Source organism: Homo sapiens, chromosome 1 (genome assembly GCF_000001405.40).
Source record: "Homo sapiens chromosome 1, GRCh38.p14 Primary Assembly".
Classification (NCBI taxonomy): domain Eukaryota; kingdom Metazoa; phylum Chordata; class Mammalia; order Primates; family Hominidae; genus Homo; species Homo sapiens.
The window spans coordinates 67,330,280-67,354,523 of record NC_000001.11 but is presented as its reverse complement, the minus strand read 5'-3'; the positions used below and the strand labels follow the sequence as shown (position 1 = coordinate 67,354,523).

Genomic DNA, 24,244 nt, shown 5'->3' with positions numbered 1-24,244 from the left:
TTCCCTCCTGACGTGATCTCTGCATCAACCTCATTCTTAGCATTCTATGATCAATGGTCCTCTGTCCACTCTCAGAGGATGAAGTGTTCCTCTTCCCTCTTTTGGTCACTGGCTCCTCATCATCTCCCATCTCCCCAGGGACTTTATTCTATTATTCCTCCCTCTCCTTTGTCTTCAACTTCTTCCTTATCTCTGGTTCTTCCTTTCAAGTCCTATGCCTGCTCAGCTCTCACTTTAAAACAAACCCTCACGCCTGCACACCTGCTCTCCCTCACCTGGCTAGCACCACTTTGTCTCTCTATACTTGGTACGCATGCCACCAGCTCTCCTGGCCTCCTCTCCAAGCTCATGCTTTGGCTTTTCTCTGTTCCTAGAGCCCCCATGCATACCTCTTACCTCATGCTTATTCTACTGTACTGCACTTTACTTGCTCATATGTCTGACCCTCCCCCTTGGCTAAATATAAGTTGAGGACCTCGACTGTATCTTTTACCTATGCTGGATTCCAACTGCCTTATATAGTGTATGCTCAAAAATGACTGTTGAATGAATAAAGTAGAAATGAACTCTAACATAATGAATGTGACATTTGAGAAGTTGTCACCAAATCTAACTAAGGAACCTGGAATGGGACCATAGAATTCATGAGGTTTAAAACCTCAAGACCCATCTGCAGTGAGGTTTGAAGAAGTAAGTTATTCTGATTTATTTCATTTTAAAAACAGCAGAATAGAACCACAGAATTCACTTTAAAAATTACATACACAGTACTTAGCCACTGAAGAACAAATTTTTAAATATAAAAAGCAAAAGGGAAGAAAAATAACTTGTAATTCCAGATGTACAAATGATCTCTGTTAACATTTTGATCTATATTCAGCTAGATATTTTTTAAATTTTACCCTTCAAAAAATACGTGCTCATGTAAATGTTTATTTATTTTTTATTTACTTTTGAGACAGAGTCTCACTTTTTCACCCAGTCTGGAGTGCAGTGGTGCGATCACAGTTCACTGCAATCTCAACCTCCTAGCCTCAAGAAATCCTTCCACCTCATCCTCCCAAGTAGTGGAACCACAGGCGTGAGCCACCACAGCTGACTAATCTTATTTTTATTTTTTTTTGTATCTTTTTCCTTATGTTGGCCTGGCTGGTCTCAAACTTCTGGGCTCAAGCAATCCTCCCACCTTGCACTCCCAAAGTGCTGGGATTAGAGGTGTGAGACACGCGCTAGTTGTAAATATGTATTTAAGATGGCATCACCTCATATACACTTTTAAAATCTTACCTTTTCACTTATAATGTGTATCTGTCCATGTCAATGAAAAACATAGCTACAACATCCCTTTAATGTTGGTGTAGGATTAAAGCAGTTGAGGGTCATGGTGAGTTTAACCAGTCCATTCTTTACTATTATACACTTAGGTTGTTTATGGTGTTTCACTGTTTCAAACAATTTTTCAACAAACATCTTCGTACTTACATTTTTAAGCACTTATCCTATGATATGCTGAGTATACATTTCTAAGGCTAAAATTACCTGGTCAAAAGATACAAGTTTAATTTAAAGTTTGTTACATATTGCCAAGTTGCTCCCTAGTAAGTTGTACCAATTTACACACTCACTAGCGTGTACAAGAGTATCTTCCCCACACCCTCACCAACATGGGTATGTTCATTCTACTTACTCTTTCTCAGTCTGATTTGGTTTCTCAGGTTTTCTCAAAATTTGTATCTCATTAATTGCTAGTTAGGCTAAACATTTTCATATCTTTGTTGCTCCTTTTATACTTCTTTTTGAGTTGTTTGTTCATATTCCAAAGTTTCATATATTTGAAAAAGTTATATTGATAAATATAGAGAGAGATTACCAGTTGCCTACAAACACCTTCTCCTCATCTTTTTTTAGCAAGGGAACATTGCTGCCTTAATATATTTTTGAGCCTCCTTTGCATCTGGGTGTGACCAGGTGACCAGTGGGCTGATGAATGCAAGTGTTGTTGTGAGACCTGGGGTAAAGCTCCTTAAAAGTAAGGGCTGAGCCCTTCTTTTCCTTTTCTGCTGTCTAGAAGGAAATAGCTAGAGCCTTGGCAGCCATTTTGGACCATTTCCATCATAAGGATGAAAGCCAAACTTGGCAGAGGGAACAGAAAGGAGGACCCTAGAGCCCTGATGGCATCATGAGGCTGTCACACCAGCCCTAGGCTGTCTACCTCTGGACTTCTCTTTTTTTGAGAGGATAAATAAGTTCCTATAGTCAGGCTTTTGGTAAGAACAACCCTAACCCTAAGAGAAATTCCTAACTCATACACCAACCCAAGGTTATATGCATATACTATACATATACTGTTTACTTGTATATATACATTAATACTTACCTGTATTTTCTTCTAAGTATTTTATCTAATACTTTATTTCTTTGTACAGATATATGACTGAAAAGATATATAACCAAGATTTAACAGTGTATATTAAATAATAGTATTTTGGTAGACTTTTTCAAAATGAAGATTGCTAAACCCACTGGTAGATAAAATTATTATACTGAATTTTAAGAAAGGATCTCATTACAGAGTTTTACTCTATTAGGCATTTTTTGAAGTTAGGCCAATGAACTTGACATGGAATTCTTTTATAATACAGATCTTGAGAAATAGGATTAATATCAATTTCCTTGCCTAATTGTGAGCTTTTATCCTGAGAAGTTAATTTTCAGAGGATATGACTATAAAATGTGAGACTCTACATCTAGTTGGGAATTTTCTGATAAAGGTAATTGGATACGTGTCTAAACTTGTGCAATAAAGGGCTATGGTAAAACAAAATTTTACTATAGTTTCATTAGTCAGAATTTCAATATTATTGGTTGTATTTATTTATTTATTTGTTTTTGATGAAAGGGGTCTCACTGTGAGGCCCAGACTGGCGTGGAACTCCTGGGCTTAAGCAATCCTCCCATCTCATATTCCTAAGTAGCTGGGACCATAGGTACACACCACCATCCCCGACTTTGGTTTTAAAAAGACGTTTTGACTTTAGGTGTAAAATGTTTTCTGAAACATAACACGTATTTCTCCTGCTTCTATAAAAGCTAGTCAGATATTGGTGTTCAATTTAATGTAACTAGTATTTCCTTAACTACAATGTATTAAATACCTGCTATGTATTAATATTTAGTTTCAAAATGACCTATGAGACAGGCAATATAATTCCTATTTTAGAGAGGAGGACATTGAAGCTCAGAGGTGTTCATTTACTTGTCCAAGGCTACTCATAGGCTGATTGGAAAAGAAAAAAAAAGCCTCTGAAAGCTGTTGACTCCAAAGCCTGAACTCCTAGCTACTCATTTTAGGTCCTGGGTTGGGCCTGCAGGAGATAAGAGATGAGTAAGACACAGTTTTCCACAGGCAATGTTAAAGAAAAATTAGAACTTACCTGCCTCACACAGGTTCATTATGTTAATACGAGTGGGCAGAGAACTGCCTTTTGAATTTGCTGCAGACACAGCCACAGCCCAATTTCCGGTTCTAGGAATGACTGTGGTCCAGGAGGTGTGTCCTGTGATGTTCTGTGTCATGGCTTTCCCTCCTGTCAGCTCCTGCAAGGTCACCTGATAGTGGAGAATTTTTCCTCTTGCCTCTGAGACACTCAGATTCTGCAACAAGACACATTTATTCACTATTTACTCCCAGACAAGATCACTGATGCTCTGTGCCTGGACCTCATGGGTACAGATGTACTAGGCAGCTACAGCTGAGTGACCTTTTTGTTCATATCATCTCATGTTCCCTGCTACACACTTTTATGCAATACCCACCTTCCCCTCCCTGCCATTTAGGAAATAAAAAATCAGTTAACGTTTTTAAAAGATAATTCTTAAGAACGCATTGATTTTCTTTTTTGCTTTAAAATGAAACTTACTAATAGTAGACAACTTGGTCACATCCAATAGAACAAGTATAGAATCTCAACTCAGAAGATCTGGATTTGAGTTCCAGCTCTACTGTTTACACAGCCCAAGGGCAAGGCACTCAGCCCCTCTGAGTCTCCATTTCTAAATTTGTAAATCACACACACACATATAACCTTTTCTACAGAAGGTGCACTGCTGCTCAAGACATCAAACAGAAGATTTTCAAGAGCTAAACTAGTAAAATCTTCATTTAGTGAATTGAATTAGCCATCTGTGCTAGGAAACTAAGACACTGTTCATAAACGTGTAACTAACAACTTTTGGAACTGCAAAAATTCCAATTGAGATCATTTGGGAGCAATCCCAGAAAGTAAGCAGAGAACTAATTATTTGTATTATAACCCTGTTTTGACAAGGACCATGGGAAACAGAAGCATAGAATATGGAGAGTTGTCAAGTCTAGCATTGGCGGTGCCCATCCATGCCTCATGCAAGGTGAGGAAGGCTTGCTCACCAGATTCAAGTGCTACAGTTTTCTTGGCAAGGCTGTCCCTTCCATGGGTGGGGGGCCTCCGGCTGTGTTTGCTGAAAGACACACTGTAGTCAGCAAATGCCCCTTGCCTGGGTTCCCTGCTCACCAAGCACTCTTCTAATAATTTGGTTTCCTCTGTCGATTATCTGTCAGGAAAGGCTGGGCTAACATGAACATCTGGTTCACTTATAATTTTTATTTTTCACTTTAAGTGAATAAATTGGCCTTCTGATTATAATTTGGCTTCTGAAACAATTAGCATACTGGGAGAGAATGTTCCTATCTGCTGACTCAAGCCTTCTGGTTGGCCCCACAGCTGCATTTCTTGCTGAAATTAATCCATGAGCATCTAGTTTTTATATCTCCATTTCTGGAAGCTTGATTAATGCAGGTCCATTCTGGTGACCCTTCTGGATCCAAAAGGCCCAAAACTAGATCTTAAACCATAGTCAGTGCACGAGGTGGATGTCATGTTGCTGTGGGCCCTTTTGTGTGGACATTCTGCCTTTCCCTAAAGTCAGCATTTCAAATGTCTGTCGCAGCCGATCTCATAGGCCTGTTGTATGGATTAGAATAAGCAAGTGCTTTTTAGAGTAGGATGTTCTAAACTGTTATTATTAAATATGCCCTTTGTCAGAGGAGAAAAACAATAAAGCAGACACTGGCAAGGGAAGACCATCCCCTCAGCTATCTCTCACTCCGTTGTTCCCTATGTGTCTCTTCTGCAAGTCCAGAGATAGGACTGTTACCTCCACTCACACCCCAAGTTTTCCAACCCTAAGGTACTTCCCAAGAGTTAACTGAGCTCACAAAACTCTTATTTCTGGCCAGGGACCCAAGAGGCTTCAGTCCAACGCTAACATTGCAAACCAGTCTTATTATCTCCCTCCCACTGTCCTTCATAGACATCCCAGAAATCTCATTTGATATAATAGTAAAGTGCTAAAGGAAGGGGTGAAATGTTATCTTGGATCCAATGGCTGTGCATAGTGACTGCTGTGAAAATCTAGCTGATCACAGCAGTCTAGTAAATAGGGGTGTGGCTCTGACGGATCATAAAGATTTCCAGAGGGCATGGACCCAGACTCTTACATTTTCCCCTTCGCATCCCATATTTTAGAGTTGAAAATATCAATGAAAAGGTGGGAGTGGGATGGAAGTAGGTGGACAAGTAAATATGGTATCCCATGGGTTAGGCTGATATAAGATGTCAAACTCAATTTTTGGAATAACGATTATCCTTTCTTAGGTAATTGGTCTCCTTAATCAAATTGAAAAACAAGCCTAACTCGTCTGACAGGGTCGATGGAACAAAAACTTCAATGAGCTAATAGGAAAACAGATATTTAGCCACTTAGTCTCCTGAAGCAACTGAAAACAGTATAATCAGTTCAGGGTTTTTTTTTTTTTAATTTTTTAAGGCAACATAAAGTTTGCAAATGGTGTATGTAGTCCATTACTCCTGGATTATGCCTTGTCCTGATGGAAGGGAATATCATCAAGGAACCACCAAACTGGAAGTGAATCTACAGATTAACAGTTAATTCAATGATTCATTTTATAAGTGGGAAAACAGGGGCCCAGGGACATGACGTGACTTGCTTAAGGCCATTCAATGGACAGATGAAGAAGGTAGGCGCAGAGCCCAGAGCTCTCGACTTCTAGGCCAATGTTCCCTCTGTTATGACGTGCTGCTCCCTATATAGACAAGCCTGAGACAATGAACTGGTAGGTGTGGGCAGCCGTGTTTCATAGTTGAAATCCTCAGTCACCCTTCTAGCCCAAAATTGCAAAGCAACTTCTCTAATTGTGAGGTTTGGTACATTCTCACATGCAGCACGAACAGGCAGCATGAGTTCATCAGTTTGGGGAGGGTGGAGACCGAGAATCCCTTTTTTTCCAGAGTTAGCAGGTTCTGAGTCACAGGAGACAAGCTGTGAGCTCAGAAGGACTGCAAACCGGAGGAGCCCGCCGACTCTTCCCAGATCAACCTATTTGTATGCTGGTGCTGCTGGTTTGGGTGAATGATAAAGGAAAGACCAACATTTATTGGGCTATACCATGAGCCAGGAGTTTTATGTCTAATGTCCCATTTAGCCCTTGTAACTCTCCATTCTGATTTTGAGGATGTTGAAGCTTGGGGACATTAAGGAACGGTTTCAAATAGTCCCCACAGAAAAGTAATGTGAGATTTTTGAGTGCCCTCTGGTGGATGTGAGAGCGGTGCGCAGTATCCAGAATGTGTCTTGCATCCCTGGGAGTGTCTCCAAGACCTGCCACCTCTTTTTCCTTCTCTGACAGTGCTAAGAATGGGTCTCAGGCCAGTGTTCCTACTGTCATTGTCACCTTCTCCTATTGGTAAGAATATGCTATAAAGGAACCACAGTCCCATTGCCTCTCTCCTTCCATTTTCTTTCTGCTCTGACCTGTGGGAAATGATTTAAATTTATTATGGAAAGCCTTTCTGACTTGGCTTTGTCTGAGAACTGAAGAGTGAACAGCTCTCTCAGTAAACCTACTGTAAGAGTTCTGCTGCCTGAAAAAGCTTTCAGCATTAAAAATGTGGTAAATGTAATCCATGACAGGACAAAATCTGACACATTTCAGAATGCAATGCATCTGTTTTTATTTTTAATTAAAGATCTATTGGAGGAGGGGTGTCTCCATGAATTGATAAATCATGTCTTCTTAAGATTTAAAAAACTTACTGAACTTCTCATAAAGTAATGCTCTACTTCTGAACTTCCCCTGATGCAAATAATAAAGAAAAAATCTGTTAGCGCTTAGCCTGTATCAAAGAAGAGGGTCTATAATCTAGACCTTAGAAAGCTGGAGGAATCTGAACACTATTAATCACAGCTTTTATTTCTTTTGATTTTGGCTTTGGAATACTGCTGACTTTGATTTTTTTCTTATTAGAGCAGATCCTTTGCTTCCTTGCTCTACCACATAGCAGCTGTATGACCTTGGGCAAATTATTTTCCCTTTTTGAGCCTCAGTGCCCTTATTTATAAAATAAGGATACTGTCATGTACAGTGTAGGCTTATTGGAGCATTCAATGAGTTAAGGGAGGTAAACTGTTTTAAAGAGTGCTTGGCACATGTTAAGACTCTTGGTGACTTCCCTTCTCTCAGTTACTCTAAAGTAATATAAAAATATCATGATTGTCAGTTTTGCTAATACACTTACATGACTCTTCTACCAGTCTATGAAGAGCTAGGTCATCTTGACTCTTGGCTTACTCTTCTGTTCTATATGGAAGTCTCACCAATGCCATTCAGTTGGTTACAAAATACATGTAATTTGTAAGTTTTTGTGAGCATCTTGATTTTAAAACTCATGACTGCCTTTTGCAACCCCAGTCCAAATGAAGTGATTCAAAAGACAACCCTTGGCCGTGCGCGGTGGCTCACACCTGTAATCCCAGCACTTTGGGAGGCTGAGGTGGGCAAATCACTTGAAGTCAAGAGTTTGAGACCAGCTCAGCCAACATGGTGAAACCACTTTCTACTAAAAATACAAAAATTAGCTGGGCATAATGGTGCATGCCTGTAATCACAGCTACTTGAGAGGCTGAGGTGGGAGAATTGCTTGAACCCAGGAGGCAGAGGTTGCAGTGAGCTAATATCGCACCACTGCACTCCAACCTGGGTGACAGAGTGAGAACCTGTCGAAAAAAAAAAAAAAAAAAAAAAAAAAATAGACAACCCTCACCTGGACATTTTAGAAAACACTCCATTGAAACTATCTAAGGATCTATTTTCCCACTAGCACCTTCAATGTCATGCACAATGTTTGCCTCATAACAATAACTTAACACTTTTCACAACGATTTCATTAATCTTCACAACTTCATGTGATCTGCACTTTACTCATGAATAAAATAAGGAACAGAGAGTTTAAGCACTTTGCCCAAGAACATCCAGCCAATAAGTAGTGAAGCTGGAACTCAAACCCAGGTGGCACAGCTCTACCAAGAGGTGAACTCTTAACTGCTGGACCATGCTAGCACTTCCTAGATACTCCCCAGTGTTCTGCTATACTGAACTGACTTAACTGATAGTCAAACCTCTTGGTGGTGACCGTGGCATAATGATTTCTATCTTGTTTGGCAGCTAGAAAAACAGAAAAATAAGAGAAACTTTCATGAAAGCAAAACTTTAAAATGCCCTTTCCATCTCCTCTTTCTATCTTCTGTTAATTCTTGGCTACCTACTCTCTTATTTTTTTGCACTGGCCACATTCTGCTATCCAATCAAAATTCCCTACTTTCAGCTGGCATAACATGTGTGACTAGTAAGCAAGGAAAAGCAGCCCTTTCTTTCCAAAAATATCTTTGGAAATGCTGTGCCTGCCTGTGATGGGCCAGGATTGGGAAGGGGGAGATAGAGTTGAATATTGCAACGAAACAATCTAAATTGTGCCATCTGCTGCTTTTGTATTTAAATATTGATTCTGAGATCGGATAGCTCCTATAATTATATAAATGCCCCAAGGTCCTGGCAGCCAATCCTCACTAGGGATTTACAATAGACCTTTGTCCTACATCAATATAAATCAGGTCCCAAATAATACTTTCTACTTTTAACAAGCTTTTTCATATGAGGAGGCCAAAGAATTCATCACTTCAGTGCAGTGTGATATAGGTTGGAATATTCTGCATATGAGAGAGAGATACAAGGAGAAAGAGACAAAGTGAATGTACTGAATAAGCTGTTCCTTTCACAACAGTCTCTCTCAGGCTGTGCCGTAAATTGGTATACGGGGCTTGCTATCTTCTCGTTCTTTCCATCTTCTGTGGTTTGAGGGTAGCTGTTTGTCAAAATGAATTACTTCGTATAACAAATAAAAAACACTAAATCTTTTCCCCACTTTTGGAACTAAGAGTTTTCTTTCTTTTTTTCTTTTTGAAATGGAGTCTCACACTGTCGTCCAGGCTGGAGTGCAGTGGCGTGATCTCGGCTCACTGCAACTCTGCTTCCTGGGTTCAAGTGATTCTCCTGCCTCAGCCTCTTGAGTAGCTGGAATTACAGCCGTATGCCACCATGCCTGGCTAACATTTTTGTATTTTTAGTAGAGACAGGGTTTGGCTGCTCTTGAACTCCTGACCTCAGGTGATCCTCCCACCTCGGCCTCCCAAAGTGCTTAGATTACAGGCATGAGCCACCATGCCCAGTCCGAATTTTCTTAACTCTCTCTGTATTGCTCTGAAAACACAGAAGCTGTGCTGTTGAATATGGGAGGGAGCCCCTAGCTGTAGGAAGTCATGGAGCCCTTGAAACATGGCTAGTCCGAGCCAAGATGTGCTACTGTCTGGAGGGTGAAGTCTTAACCAATGTGCCCATACTGGCACTTAGTAGACTCACCAGTTTTTGAAAACTTGGTAGGATAAAAAGGTTATAAAATATCCAAATAATTTTAAAAATTGATTACATGGTAAAATGACAATGTTCTGGATCTACTGGGTTAGATAAAATGTATTATTAGGCCGAGAGCCGTTGCTCATGCCTGTAATCCCAGCACTTTGGGAGGCTGAGGCAGGAGGATCACTTGAGATCAGGAGTTTGAGACCAGTCTGGCCAACATGGCAAAATCTTGTCTCTACTAAAAATACAAAAATTAGCCAGGCATGGTGGCACACACCTGTAATCTGACCTACCTGGGAGGCTGAGGCATGAGAATCACTTGAACTTAGGAGGCGGAGGTTGCAGTGAGCCAAGATCACGCCACTGCACTCCAGCCTGGGCCACAGAGGGAGACTCTATCTCAAAAAAGAAAAAAAATTATTAAAATTAATTTCACCTGTTTCTTTTTACATTTTAAAATTTGGCTACATAACAATTTTTAATCATGCATGTGGCTCCCATTTGTGGCTTGCTTATATTTCCGTGGAACAGTGCTTCACTAAAGTAATCCTTTCCATGCCAAATCCATAGAGGTGTCCCTCTCTGCTTGCCCACCACTCCCCTGCTCCACTAGGCGAGCTCAACCATCATCCTTCCACCTGAACCTGGAACTGCTCCCTAACACCCAAATGTCCTCAGCATCCTGCTCCTACTCCTGTCCTCTTGCTGGACTGTGAGCTCCAGGACATGAGGACTGGATTTGTCTTGTTCACTTTCATATCCCAGCTATGCAGTACAGTGTCTAATACTAAAGAGGAGCTTTCATATGTTTGTTTGAGCAAATGAATGAGCTTAACATGAATATTTCTCTTCCAGACTCATGGCCTCAAACAAATTTCAAAAGTTTGTGATTTGCTATGATCAAGATAATGAGAGGATGCTAAAGAAATTAAGAGAGGAAACTAGAACGGTTGATGTGGCTTTACCTGGTTCTCATATCTTTTTCATATATATATGAAAGGTGGTTTTCTTCTTAAAAGATACATGCTGTTTTAACTAGAAAAGAAGTATATTGGAATCATGGATTGAGATACTTAATTAAGGAAAGAATACAATATAAAACAGTACAGAAGGAGAAGAGAAAGGAAGTTTGAGGGAGAGGATTGCTAAAAGCCCCCTTTTGTAAAGGGGCCTAATCCAACCCTGGGGCTATTCGTAATCAAGCAACATTTTTTACTTTTATTGCATTTGTGGTTTTAACAATACCCAGGTGTTTTTCTTTCATTTCATAGATTAGGCTGTACTTTTTGGCTTCAACATTGAAAGTATTTTTCCTCTTAAAAATAGCTATGGGCCAGGTGTGGTAGCTCACACCTGTAGTCCCAGCATTTTGGGAGGTTGAGGTGGGCAGATCACTTGAACCCAGGAGTCTGTGACCAGCCTGGGCAACATGGTGAAACCCTGTCTCTGTGACAAAAATTAGCTGGGCGTGGTGATGGATGCCTGTAGTCTCAGCTACTTGGGAGGCTGAGGTGGGAGGATCACTTGAGCACAGGAGGTGAAGGCTGCAGTGAGCTGAGATTGTGCCACCACACTTCAGCCTGGGGGACAGAATGAGACCCTGTCTCTGTGACAAACAAAAATTAGCTGGGCGTGGTGATGGATGCCTGTAGTCTCAGCTACTTGGGAGGCTGAGGTGGGAGGATCACTTGAGCACAGGAGGTGAAGGCTGCAGTGAGCTGAGATTGTGCCACCACACTTCAGCCTGGGGGACAGAATGAGACCCTGTCTCTGTGACAAACAAAAATTAGCTGGGCGTGGTGATGGATGCCTGTAGTCTCAGCTACTTGGGAGGCTGAGGTGGGAGGATCACTTGAGCATAGGAGGTGAAGGCTGCAGTGAGCTGAGATTGTGCCACCACACTTCAGCCTGGGGGACAGAATGACACCCTGTCTCAAAAAAAAAAAAAAAAGGTGTGATTTTAAAAAGTAGTACAAGATATTTTTGAGGAAATGGTACTTTCAAGAGAAACTAAGTCATGGGAAAAGGAGTGACAAGCCATAACAAAGCAAAGGTCTCCTTCACCAACATCCTCACATCCTCACACACTGACACATGCACCCATTCATACATACACACACACTCACATACCTACATATTCACACCCTACTCACATCCCCACACTCCCACGCCTTCCACACACTCACATCCTTACACTCACATACATTCACACCCACACTCACACACATACTCCCACCCCAACCCCCAGGGGCTGCACCCAATCAGCACGGAGTTGTTCTCCTCTATTGTAAACATCCTACAAAAGTGAAAGGTCATCTCACATTTCCCCATATGCAAGAGAAAAGTGCTCTCACTTTATTCACAGGCAAATGGGGTTTTACTTGGTGCTTCCTTTGATGCCAAGGCATGAGATTTCCTTCTTTGCAGTGGTGGGCGTTTCTTGCATTTGGTTTCCCAGAGTTGCTCAAAGGAAAAAAACAAAAACAAAAAAAAACAAAAAAAACCCAAAAAACAAAAAACCCCACCACACACGCCCTTGCTCCCTTTCCCCAGTGAGGTATGACTTGGGCCCTGTCACAAAGCGATCTGGCTGCAGAGTTTTCCTTCTAGCCTGACACTTAGATAACTCCCTTGTACCACAGCATTCCCTTGAATTCCCAAGCCTGCCTGAGAGTGGCATGAGGAATCCCTATTAGAGGCTGGGATAAGAGTGGACTCAAATCACCTGAAATCCCCTCACTGGAAAATCACCTCTTGAAACCTCAGTTTCCATGTTTTAAACTGTGGGGTGAGACTACATGACAGTTAAATCCCTTTGGCTCTAGAGGTCTATAACTCTGTGGTTCTGTGGTCCAAAGCAGGACTGCTCAGTAACTCTGGTCAGTGTTTCCATTCCCACCCTCAGTTGAGTGGCCTGTTTGGGGCCATTAAAGAAGCCCAGGTTTGACAGAAAAGGACTTAATCCTGTGACAATATAGGACTGCATCCAACTTTCCTTGGGGAGCCTCTTAGACTAGAGAGTCACTGAAGGTTTTGAGGTTGGCTTTTGATGACTACCATCTGACATCAAGTTATAGAAGCTTCTAGTGCTTACCTTTTTGCTTTCTCTTTCTTTCCTTCCTTTCTTTTCTTTCTTTCTTTCTTTCTTTCTTTCTTTCTTTCTTTCTTTCTTTCTTTCTTTCTCTTTCTTTTTTCTTTCCTTCTTTCTTCTTTCTCTTTCTCTATTTTCTCTTTCTCCTTCCTTCCCTCCTTCCCTCCCTCTCTTCCATCCTTCCTTCCTTCCTTCCTTCCCTTCCTTCTTTGTCTTGCTCTGTCACCCAGGCTGGAGTACTATGGCACGATCTCAGCTCACTGCAACCTCTGCCTCCCGGGTTCAAGGGATTCTCCTGCTTCAGTCTCCCAAGTAGCTGAGATTACAGGTGGGCATCACCACACCCAGCTGATTTTTTTGTATTTTGGTAGAGACAGGGTTTCACCATGTCTGCCAGGATGGTCTCAAACTCCTGGACTTCAGTGATCTGCCCACCTCGACCTCCCCAGGTGCTGGGATTAGGGATTATGGGATTATTACTGGCGTAAGCCACTGTGCCTTGCCCTTTTTGGTTTCTTCTAAGCCAGTTCCAACCCCAAGCATCCTTCTTGGGCCCACAATTCTGGCTACACAAAAGGAAACATTTTCTAAACAATAAGAGATGTTCAACCATGGCATGGGCAGACTACAAAGTGAGATTCTCCCTGTCCCAGAATATCCCCACTGAGACATCTGTCTGTCCTGGCAGGAGTAGGAGCCATGTTTATAATGAAAGGAAGGCTGAACTAGAAGAGCTTTGAAGTCCCTCCAAATTCCAAGACCTCATTATAGAACCTAAGCCTTGTGAAGATAGAAATAAAATCAGGGCAGCAGAGAAGAAATCACATACTCACATTTACCAAGCATCACTCATGGCCAACACATACTTATTTTGACTTCACTCTGGTGCTGGTTTCAGAGAACCAAGATGATGTCCACTATAAACTCTGTTTGTTACAGTGAAAAGCACGCAGGCATGGAGCTTTCACTGTCAGGATAAACACGCATCATGCAGCACTGCTGAATTTTACACTGGTGGCCCTTGTGATTTTTACATTTGTGTCCTCTCATTTGCTGATCCCCACAATGGTCTTGTCAGCTTTGCAGATACCTGTATCATTACCCTCATTCTACTGAGAGAAACCCTTGAGTTGAGAGGCGTGGAATAGATTAACACGTAGCATATCTTTCCAGATCACTGTTGAGGACATTTTTGGAGGAGAAACCTTTACATGAGAGGAGGAATTTTGGTTTTAACCAGTCACTTGCTCGTGAAAAGGAAATAATTAGGCTGGGTTCTTCTATAATATTCACAAATTATGGCTGTTCTAAATGTCCTGCTTTGAGAATTGTCTTGCTATTGAAAGTAGATTCATTTTAAAATAAATTTTGAGCTGCAGTGTTAGTTTCAAAGTGAAGAGCCTGATCATGATTCACCAGGCTATTTATAGTAGTCTCTTCTTATACCAGACGTTTTATGTGTGTGTGAGAGAGACAGGGAGGAGAAAGAAGAAGAAATCACTCATTTCTTAAAACTGAAGAAGTGTGCAATGATCAAAACCCATCATGTGAACCCCATCAGAGGACTTTATAATTGTTATTCTTACTCTTCTGGTTTTGTGCTCATTCAGATTCATAATTCCAAAACTTTCTATCCTCAACTGGAAGAGGTGTAGTGAAGAGGATGTGAGTCCTGAGAAATAAAGAGTGCAGTTCACCAGGAAACCTCTTATGAGCATGCCAATCAGTAGCTCAATTCGAATCGCACAGCATTTTCCTTCAACAAAGATGAGTCACGATGCAGCAGTTCTGGATAAGGTTTCAGTCTCAGGTCTGTGCTCAGTAGCTGGGTGACTTTGGGCAAGAACTTCCTCTCTTTCCTCTCTCTGATACTCGTTTTTTCATTCACTCATTCATTCGTTTTCTCATTCACTGGTAAGTGGGCGTACCAGTACTTACCTCAGGGGATTTTTGTGAGGATTAAATAAAATGGTAATGCCAGCTTTCAGTGCTTTGTGAAACTTTCGCATTCTATGATAATGTCAGGCTTCACTGTTTTCTGGAAAGTTGTCTAATTTACTACTGTTTTATTACCATTCCTGAGGAAGGGCTGCTTTCTATTCCTGTTTGTATGATTTTCTTTTTTTTTTTTTTTTGAAACGTAGTCTCACTCTGTCACCCAAGCTCGAGTGCAGTGGCATGATCTTGGCTCACTGCAACCCCTGCCTCCCGGGTTCAAGTGATTCTCGTGCCTCAGCCTCCCCAGTAGCTGGGATTACAGGCGCATGCCACCATGCCCGGCTAATTTTTGTATTTTCAGTAGAGACGGGGTTTCACCATGCTGGCCAGGCTGGTCTCTAACCCCTGACCTCAAGTGATCCGCCTGCCTTGGCCTCCCAAAGTGCTGGGATTACAGGCGTGAGCCACTGCACCTGGCCTGTTTGTATTATTTTCTACCACTATTACTATTCCTAAAGTAGAGCAGCTTTCTTTCCTCCTTCTCCCTCTTCAATGACTTAACAAACATTATTAAATATCCACATCCACAGCTTTTTCATCTTTTGTTTCCCAAAGAGTGAATAAGTGAAGTGACATGGTTACTGCTGGGCATATTTATGTAGGAGAGGTGGGGGTGGGCAGAAAGGGGACAACAGTCAGAAGAGATGAAGTAGTTGGGGTCAGAGGGTGGAAATGCCAGGGATGGAAAAAGACCTTGATCTTATAGGAAGTGGGATTGAAACGATGTGACTGTGTGGAAGAAGGAACTCAGCTCTCACCCCTATCCACCAAAGGCACATGACACTGTGGTGTGTCATGAATGTGAGAAAATGAGCTCTAGCAAAATCATTGAAGCTTCATATAAAAGCCACTATGCAAATAGGTCTTTTTCTGCCTTCAGTTTTATTCCCTTGAGTTTTAAGTTGACGCTTAAAACTCACCTTCCAGAAAAGAGAAATCTGTTGTCTACTGTAGTCAATGTGCCGTTTCATGTACCAGACATCTAACATCCCAGTAGGCTCTGTTTCAAAGGAGAAAAAAAGACATATTTTCATATATTTACTACTTTGAAAGTTAACTGGTCATTCAGTAAACAATTCTGGAAGAGTAGAATTAGAGGATAACTTCAATTATTTGTGTGTGTCCCAGTATTTTTTCTTTTTCTTGTTTAACAATGAACATATATATCTTTGGCCAAAAAGTCAGAAAAACAAGGTTACCTTAAAAACAAATTTAAAAAAAAATGATGAGGAATTTGTTTCTTAACTTACTTTTTTTTTTTTTTTTTTTTTTTTTTTTTTTTTTTTTGAGACAGGATCTTGCTCTGTTGCCTCGGCTGGAATGCAGTGATGCAGTGGCACGATCTCAGCTCACTGCAACCTCCACCTCCCAGGCTCAAGCAATCCTCCTGCCTCAGCCTCCCACATAGCTGGGACTACAGGTGCGTACCACCACGCCTGGCTAATTTCTGTATTTTTTATACAGACAGGCTTTCATCATGTTGCCCCGGCTGGTCTTGAACTCCTGAGCTCAAGAGATCCACCCACCTTGGCCTCCCAAAGTGCCGGGATTACATAGGCATGAGCCACTGCACCCGGCCTTAACTTACTCTTAAAACATGTGTTATTAAAATAACCCAAGGAAAGTACATGTGGCTTTAGCACCATAAGACAGAGCAAAAAAATAAAAATAAAGTATATGTGGTTCTTTTCTTTTCTTTTCTTTTCTTTTTTTTTTTTTTTTACTAGAATGCAGAAAGAATTCTCAACAGAGAAGATACAACTCATATAGAAAAACACTTTTTGGTCTTGTAAAAATACACTAATATAAATGACAAACCTTGTGTTCATCTCCATTCCTAGACTTATCATGGTATAGTACAATTATTTGGTGTGTGATCATTAGACAATGATGTACTTAAAGGGAAGTCCTATCTCATTTAATATGCCACATACCCAGCGCAGCACTTAGAATATAATAGGCTCCTAATAATTGTTAAGTAATGAATGAACAAATCATGTGATATTATCTATTTAATGCCAAAACACAGGCTGAACTGATTAAATAAATAACCACCAATCTGTAAGACAATGGTCAAATATGGCCCAACTTAATTTCAACCAAACATACTTGCAAAGAGACTAAATAATCAACTCCTGTATGTGTAAGTGTGAGTGTGTGTGTGCATGAGTTCATGCTCACGTGAGTGAGTGAAGTCATTTTGTTTCCTCTACCATCAAGTCACTTAGATTTGTTTTGATTTACAGCCAGGAGTGGAACCAGCAGAAACAACTCCTGAAAACAGGCTTCAGCTGCACCAAGCTAATTTCCTCAACAGTGAAACTTAGAGTGTATTTGAGGGGAGGCTGCGCTGGGGTTTTTTCCTAGGTTAGAAAGTTCCATCTAACCAGATGGAAATTTCTAGAAAATTAAGTCCCACCACCTGGATAACAGGAGATAAGAGAAGAGCAAAAGAGAAAGAAAGGGAGCGTAAGTACCCACATGTAGAGGGCAGGTGCTGTGTGGGCCCATCCACAGCTCCATCTCCCCTCCTCCTGCAGTAGTCAGTGTGAGCTTCAGAGCCAGGTCTGCGGGGTAAGCCCAGCTCTGTGACTTTGAACAAATGCTAACCACATCCTTCGGCTAGCTCCCTCATCTGTCAGATGAGGGTGATAATTCCACATATCACACAGGGTGGAGTGGGAATTTCAGTGGAGCGTGCTGACACATGGTGAGTGCTCAGCAAGTGTAGCTCTTGCTGTTTCCCGCATTTGAAAACTGAAGTGCTGAAAGGTTAAGGAACTTGCTTAAGGTCCCAGAACTAATCATCAGAGATGCCAGGCTTTGAACACAAATCCGTTTTATCCCAGAGCCCATAGCCTTGGCTCTGCACCGTGCAGGTGCCTGGCTCTGAGAAAGCTAATGGTTTCTCTGCGATACTTCCATCCCCCATCAGTTGGGCCTTCTTTTTGTTCTATCCTCTCCTTCATTACTTCCTTTTCCTGCCTTTCTTGCTCTACTTTCTTTTTTGTTTTTTTCTAAACATTCACTTCTTTTCTTTTCTCTCCTTTGCAGTAGTATTTACCTTTGCAGTGAGGACTTAGAGGTAAGCAACACTTATGTAAAACATTTTGAAAATGCTCTTAATTCTCCAGGAATATGAAGAGTGGCCCAGGAATCAAACCTGGGACTTCTATCTGCTAGCTTAGATGCAAAAAGAAAAAAAGCACAGGCAACAAAGGAAAGGGGATATGACGTTCACTAACCACCTACTGTCAGGTGGTGTCCGGACACTATATACATCATCTCGTTTAACCCTCACACAACGCAAGGGTGCATATGATTACATCTGCTTTACAGCTGAGGACAAGGAGGCTGGCAAAAGTTAAATGATTTACAAAAGACCTGGGTCTGGTAAATGGCAAAGCTGAGGACTGGACCCAGGTCTTGCTTTCCCCGAAGACCCTGCTTTTCCCATTACAGTTCACTACATTGACCAAGACCTGACTACTCCACAAACTAGATAATCCAGACATTTGTAAAATCAGGGTTTGGAAACCCGGGTGTGCTCAGTGTCAAAGCCAGTTGACTTGTACCACAGCAGTACATGTCTTCAGTTAATTACATATTGGTAAGAAATCTAAAGGGGACACTCACTGACTCATTAAAAATCCACAACCTAACAGATTATTACAGAGCTAAGAATCAAATTCTAGAATTATATTCTTTTCACAAGGTAAATTGCAAGTAAACTGAAATGTTAATGGTGCCTACCTGCAATGTATACCTTCATGGGAGAGAAATCATTAGTTGAATCTGCATGAGTCTCTAAAAAGTGTAACATTTCATGACCAGGGGTGTAAAATCACTGCTGCTTAAAGCAACACAAGGGCTAATAGGGAGGAGAATCTTTGACATTCAACTGTCACAGAGTCACTAAAAGTTCTAACCTCAATGTTATCTAGCCAAATACAGATAAAACTATTATAGGCACATGAGAAAAAAAAAGCCAAAGGCCAGTATGTTCAAGTGATTTCAAAAGAAATGGGTACAAATGACTAAGCATACAAATATGAGAAATGGAAGTCAGATGAAAATACTTTGTCTGTAAAGGAAAAAACTGTAGGGTTAAAGTGGAAGAAGCCACCAATATGAAAAAGAGATGACCTTGCCTCAGACTTCACCGAGCAAAAGGAAGAAATCAGATGGAAATTCCCTTCTTTTTCCACCATGAAAACGTTCAAACTCCCCCAACCAATTCCCTAACACAGCACTGTTAATGATGTCCCAGTGGATGAATCATCCCTACTTCCATCACGGTCCAACTCTTTAGCTAGAGTTCTGGACCCCGCTCCCTCTTGCTTTATCAAAGACATCTCTCCAGTCATTATCCCCACCTTCCCTGTGTCATTAATTTCTCCTTCTCTGCTGGACTCTTTTCATCCCCTTGCAGATACACTGTATTATCTCAGATCCTAAAAACAAAAACAACAAAAGATTGATATCTCTGCTCTTCTTCATATAACTTCTTGAAAAGAGTTCTGAATTATCATTCCTTCCTTCCAAGATAGGTGCTGAGCTTAGAGGAGAACAAGTGAAGGAGAGAAGGGTTTAGGGACTGTTACTGAATCTTAAACATAACACTTTCCTGTTAGTGAAAGTGTCTGATATAAATCTCTTTAGAAGAGAAAAGAATCATTCTCAAGCCTCAAGCAAAAAGACACAAATATGATGCTTTCGAGTATAGCTAGCTTAGGGGTCAGCAAACTACGGCCCATGGGCCAAATCTGGCCCTCTGCCTGTTTTAATACATCCTGTAAGAAAATGGTTTTGATAATGGTTGAAAAGAAATCAAAAGAAGAATCCGGCCGGGCGCGGTGGCTCATGCCTGTAATCCCAGAACTTTGGGAGGCTGAGGCAGACAGATCCCAAGGTCAGGAGATCGAGACCATCCTGGCTAACACGGTGAAACCCTGTCTCTACTAAAAATACAAAAAATTAGCCGGGCGTGGTGGCGGGGTGCCTGTAGTCCCAGCTACTCGGGAGGCTGAGGTAGGAGAATGGCGTGAACCCGGGAGGCGGAGCTTGCAGTGAGCCGAGATCGCACCACTGCACTCCAGCATGGGTGACAGAGCCAGACTCCGTCTCAAAACAAACAAAAGAAGAATCCTTTTTAGTGACATGTGAAGATTACATAAAATTCCAATTTCAGCATACATAAATAAAGTTTTGTTGGAACACAGCCATGCCTGTTTGTTTAGGTATTGTCAATGGCAGCTTGCATGTGACAATAGCACATTTAGCAGTTGCGACAGATCGTATGATCCGCAAAGCTGAAAATATTACTATCTGGACCTGTAGAGAAAATGTTTGCCAATCCACCAAGCTTGACTGTTATCAAATGTTTGCTATCCAAAATAATCTCTAGTATTTAATTGTTCACACCTATCTTATCTTGGCAATATTTTTAAATTACAAATGAGTGCATGAATTTCCTAGCTTCTCAATGTGGGAAGAGGTGGCTGCAGCTGGTAACTCTTCATTTTCTCCCCCTTTAGGGATTATTCACCCCTCACCCTTGCTGTCACCATGATGGGGGAAGGTTTCTCCTTTACCACTCTGCCCCTCCAAAGTACGAATGAACATGCAACGATTCCTTTGTTAGCTGTAATAGAGTTGAGCAAGATCACAAACTGCAAATAAGACTTTTTAAAATGGCGGATTAACAGACAGAGACATATTGGTAACATAGCTCTAAGGAATAGCTGATTAATCAGTATTTTGGCATCTCTTCCTGGGTGTTCTAAGTGGTGAGAGATCACCTTCCCTCAATACCTGTGCATGTTCTCAGGCATGTCTGGACACCTTGAGCTCAAATTCAAGAATGTTTTCCCACTACAAGGAAAATGTGGCTGCTCTCTTCCCAGTGTCACTATCAGGCCTGCCTTTGATGGATGCTGATTTCAAGACTGTTCTCTTAAACACAGCAAAGTAGTTTCTTTCCTCCTATCCCTTACTTTTCGGTCATTTAAAAAGTGTTTTTCAGTGATAGGAGCTGAATTTAATGACATAGTAAAGGGCCCTATGGAGTAAAGGAAGCCCTAACCCACTGTTCAAATGATATAAACAACTACACCAATCCACCCGGAGATGTTACATTTCTCTCAATTTTGAGAAGCAAAGGCTGCAAAAAGGCTGACTCTGTTGTAGAGTCATTCACAGTTTTAGAGAGTACCTAAAAAAAAAAAAAAAAAAGCTTACTATTAATTTTTTTTAAATGCCAAGTTACATATGAGTACACATTGAAAGGGTTAAAAGGAAGACGTGTTAAAAAAAATTCACACCTTTTACGTTTACATCAGTTGGTGTTTCATAAAGAAACTGATGACAGAAACAGCGGGTAAGGGGTGAAAACCAAGCAGCCTAGAGTAAGAGAAAAAAGACCTACAACAACCCACAGAAAAATCAAACATAGAAAAGGGAGATTCAGAGACAGAAAGGAAGCCAACAGAGCTTGGTAAAGGTGGTGTATCTCAGAGTATGGGTTTCTCTCTTTATGAATACCTTCAGTGACTGAATAAGCCAGCTTCCTAGGTTCAATTCATAATCATCCATGAGTTCATAACCATAATGAGTTGCTATACTCATTGTTATGATGGTGGTTTATTTTATAGGAAATAAGAAAGTTACTGTGCTGCCTTGAAGGAATTTTAATTCAAAAGACAAACACTTTTTAAAAAAGAAAAGAAAAACCTTTTCACACATCTCTAACTAGGTCATTATCATATGTGAGTAAGAATGACAAGAATTCACAAGCCCAGAGTTTCCCTAGTTTATAGTTTAGCTTAATGTGATATAACTTAAATATTTTTCAGACTACTTACTACCTTGAACTTGGATATAAAATATAGCCCATTTTCAGAAGTTTTATCTGTACCACATATATAAACAAAATCTAATTCATGAGATAGTCTTTAAAAAAATTACTTTGACTATATATAATAAAACGATATTATGAGTAAGCTCTGGATTATAAAAGTAACAACCAGAGGGCAAGTGGTTCAACATTAAGAGATTTTATTATAAAATGAGTGGTAATAAATTATCATTTGTTGGATAAATTCACTTTTAGACAATTTTTAAAATATATTCTGTAATCCCAGCACTTTGGGAGGCCGAGGCAGGTGGATCACCTGAGGTCAAGAGTTCGAGACCAGCCTGGCCAACATGGTGAAACCTGTCTCTACTGAAAATAACAAAAATTAGCCGGGCATGGTGGCGCATGCATGTAATCCCTGCTACTTGGGAGGCTGAGGCAGGAGAATCACTGGAACACAGGAGGCAGAGGTTGCACTGAGCTGAGATTGTGCCACTGCACTCCAGCCTGGGTGACAGAGCAAGACTCTGTCTCAAAAAAAAAAAAAAATGCAATTAATACAAGAAGTAAGGAAGAATATAAGATTATTCTATGAATCATATATTAGGTATTATATTCTGCTAAAGGCCCTTCCGTTCCTTGAATGTCATTGATGTATGATTGCTAAGGATCATCAGTTATCAAAAGCCATTAGTAGCTCACAGAAAATAAATGCAACTTAATTATGAGGCTAGTTTACATGCACACATATCCATAAATTTCACAAATAAGAATTTAGATTTTGCACGTTAATGTTACAAAAGCTCCAGATAATGAACAATGGATTATATGCCAAAAAGTTTTTCTCTGAGTCAAATTTATATAAATTATGAAAGACTCTCTACTATATCACTAAATGAGTGCATTTATTTATTTATTTATTTATTTATGAGATGCAGTCTCGATCTGTTGCCCAGGCTGGATTGCAGTGGCACAATCTTGGCTCATTGCAACCTTTGCCTCCTGGGTTCAAGTGATTCTCCTGCCTTAGCCTCCCGAATGGCTGGGATTACAGGCACGCACCACGATGCTTGGCTAATTTCTTGTCTTTTTGGTAGAGATGGGATTTCACCATGCTGGCCAGGCTGGTCTCGAACTCCTGACCTCGTGATCTGCCCACCTCAGCCTCCCAATGTGCTGGGATTACAGGCCTGAGCGACCATGCCGGCCTAAATGAGTGCTTTTAAAAACTAATATTCAGATGGCTATTTCTTGTGTCTCCAAAGATTTAATATTGGCATAAAGTTTACATAGGCATTTTTGCTTCAATAAAATATTTTCTTATACTTCAATAACATTCCCTTCCCAATAATTACTAAAAAAGAAAAATTCATCAGACTGAAAAACACATTTGATATCCTTTTCATAGTTATGGGTGGCCAGGTGGTTCTCATTTGTGCAGTAAATATCAAAGGCTTGAAGTACAGTGTTATAATATTTGGACAAGAGAGGATTGCTGGATGCTAAATTTTATTTTGAAATATGTGTCTCCAGAGCCTACTTTCTTTCAAGCTTTCCATATGGCTTATTGAGCCACATTACTTTTCATAGAATCAAAAATATAAAACATATGAAGCTTTAACAAGAAATGAGATTAATTACTGGTTATAGCTCTGTGAAATAAGTTACTGAGATAGTAAGAGAGATAAGTTATAACCAAGCATTATAACCAACATGACTGATAGCAAACAGGAGTAGAACTTACCCAATGTTAAAAATTTCCTTGCAACACAAACATATTTCCTTGAACAGTTTCAGCACTTAAGTTAATATAAAAATTAACTTGTTAACTAATGCAGTCATGCTTTTTGATTCAGCACCAGTAGTTTAAAGATTCTATTCCAAGGAAATCATTACATCTTCCCCCCTCTCTCCCCTTTATTGCTCCCCGATAGGTATGTATATTTTGGACATATACCTTCTTCTGGTGTTTGTGCTCTCAATGATTCACTCCAATCACTCCAACTTCCCTTATAAAGATGTAGCTTAGAGGAAATCTGAAATTCATATTCTGTAAATGGTTTCAGATCCAGCAAATCATGTCTTCCTTTGGCCTTTGTAACATTAACCTTGAAACAGACATTTTTTTAAAGTGCCTATTAATACTAGATTGCTAATTTAAGGAATTTTAACATAAAATGAAAAAAAAAAAACCCAGGCTATTTGATCTTATTTGTTTTTCAGACCTACCATTAAATGAGAAGAAATATCAGTGACTGTCTTACCGAATAGATATGATATTAATCTGAAATGATAGCATCTCATTAAAAATAAAACAAAATCTCTGGGTACTAAGAACCCATCTATGTAGGTTCTCGAGGGGAATCCTGAAACCAGCTGAAAAATAAGATTGAAAACTACAAAGTTTCTACACTAGAGATTATTTTTTATTTGATTACAATTAGGATGTGATGAATGTTTTAACACAAACATAGCACTGGCTTTTTTT

General features: G+C 40.4%; 1 protein-coding gene across 19 annotated transcripts in view, besides 3 other annotated features; it reads right to left on the bottom strand.

Moving 5' to 3' along the window:
• IL12RB2 (interleukin 12 receptor subunit beta 2) overlaps positions 1 to 24,244 on the bottom strand; it is a 91,361-nt gene that overhangs the window by 44,201 nt on the left and 22,916 nt on the right. For all 19 annotated transcript variants that reach the window (NR_047584.1, NR_047583.1, XM_011541384.3 and 16 more), the window contains 3 exons: positions 23,714 to 23,864; positions 15,821 to 15,900; positions 3,435 to 3,654 (listed from right to left, as the gene is read on the bottom strand). Coding sequence is in view for 17 of the 19 variants with exons in the window: in XM_011541384.3 (XP_011539686.1) it covers positions 3,435 to 3,654; positions 15,821 to 15,900; positions 23,714 to 23,864 (451 nt within the window). In the remaining 2 variants the exon portion in view is untranslated. The remainder of the gene's footprint in view (positions 1 to 3,434; positions 3,655 to 15,820; positions 15,901 to 23,713; positions 23,865 to 24,244) is intronic.
• Positions 12,096 to 12,185: an enhancer, noted in NCBI's record as "active region_1177". NCBI's record gives its function as "activates an Ori minimal core promoter by ATAC-STARR-seq in GM12878 lymphoblastoid cells {active_cell/tissue: GM12878}" and the evidence as "EXISTENCE:reporter gene assay evidence [ECO:0000049][PMID:35858748]".
• Positions 12,326 to 12,415: an enhancer, noted in NCBI's record as "active region_1176". NCBI's record gives its function as "activates an Ori minimal core promoter by ATAC-STARR-seq in GM12878 lymphoblastoid cells {active_cell/tissue: GM12878}" and the evidence as "EXISTENCE:reporter gene assay evidence [ECO:0000049][PMID:35858748]".
• Positions 15,539 to 15,618: an enhancer, noted in NCBI's record as "active region_1175". NCBI's record gives its function as "activates an Ori minimal core promoter by ATAC-STARR-seq in GM12878 lymphoblastoid cells {active_cell/tissue: GM12878}" and the evidence as "EXISTENCE:reporter gene assay evidence [ECO:0000049][PMID:35858748]".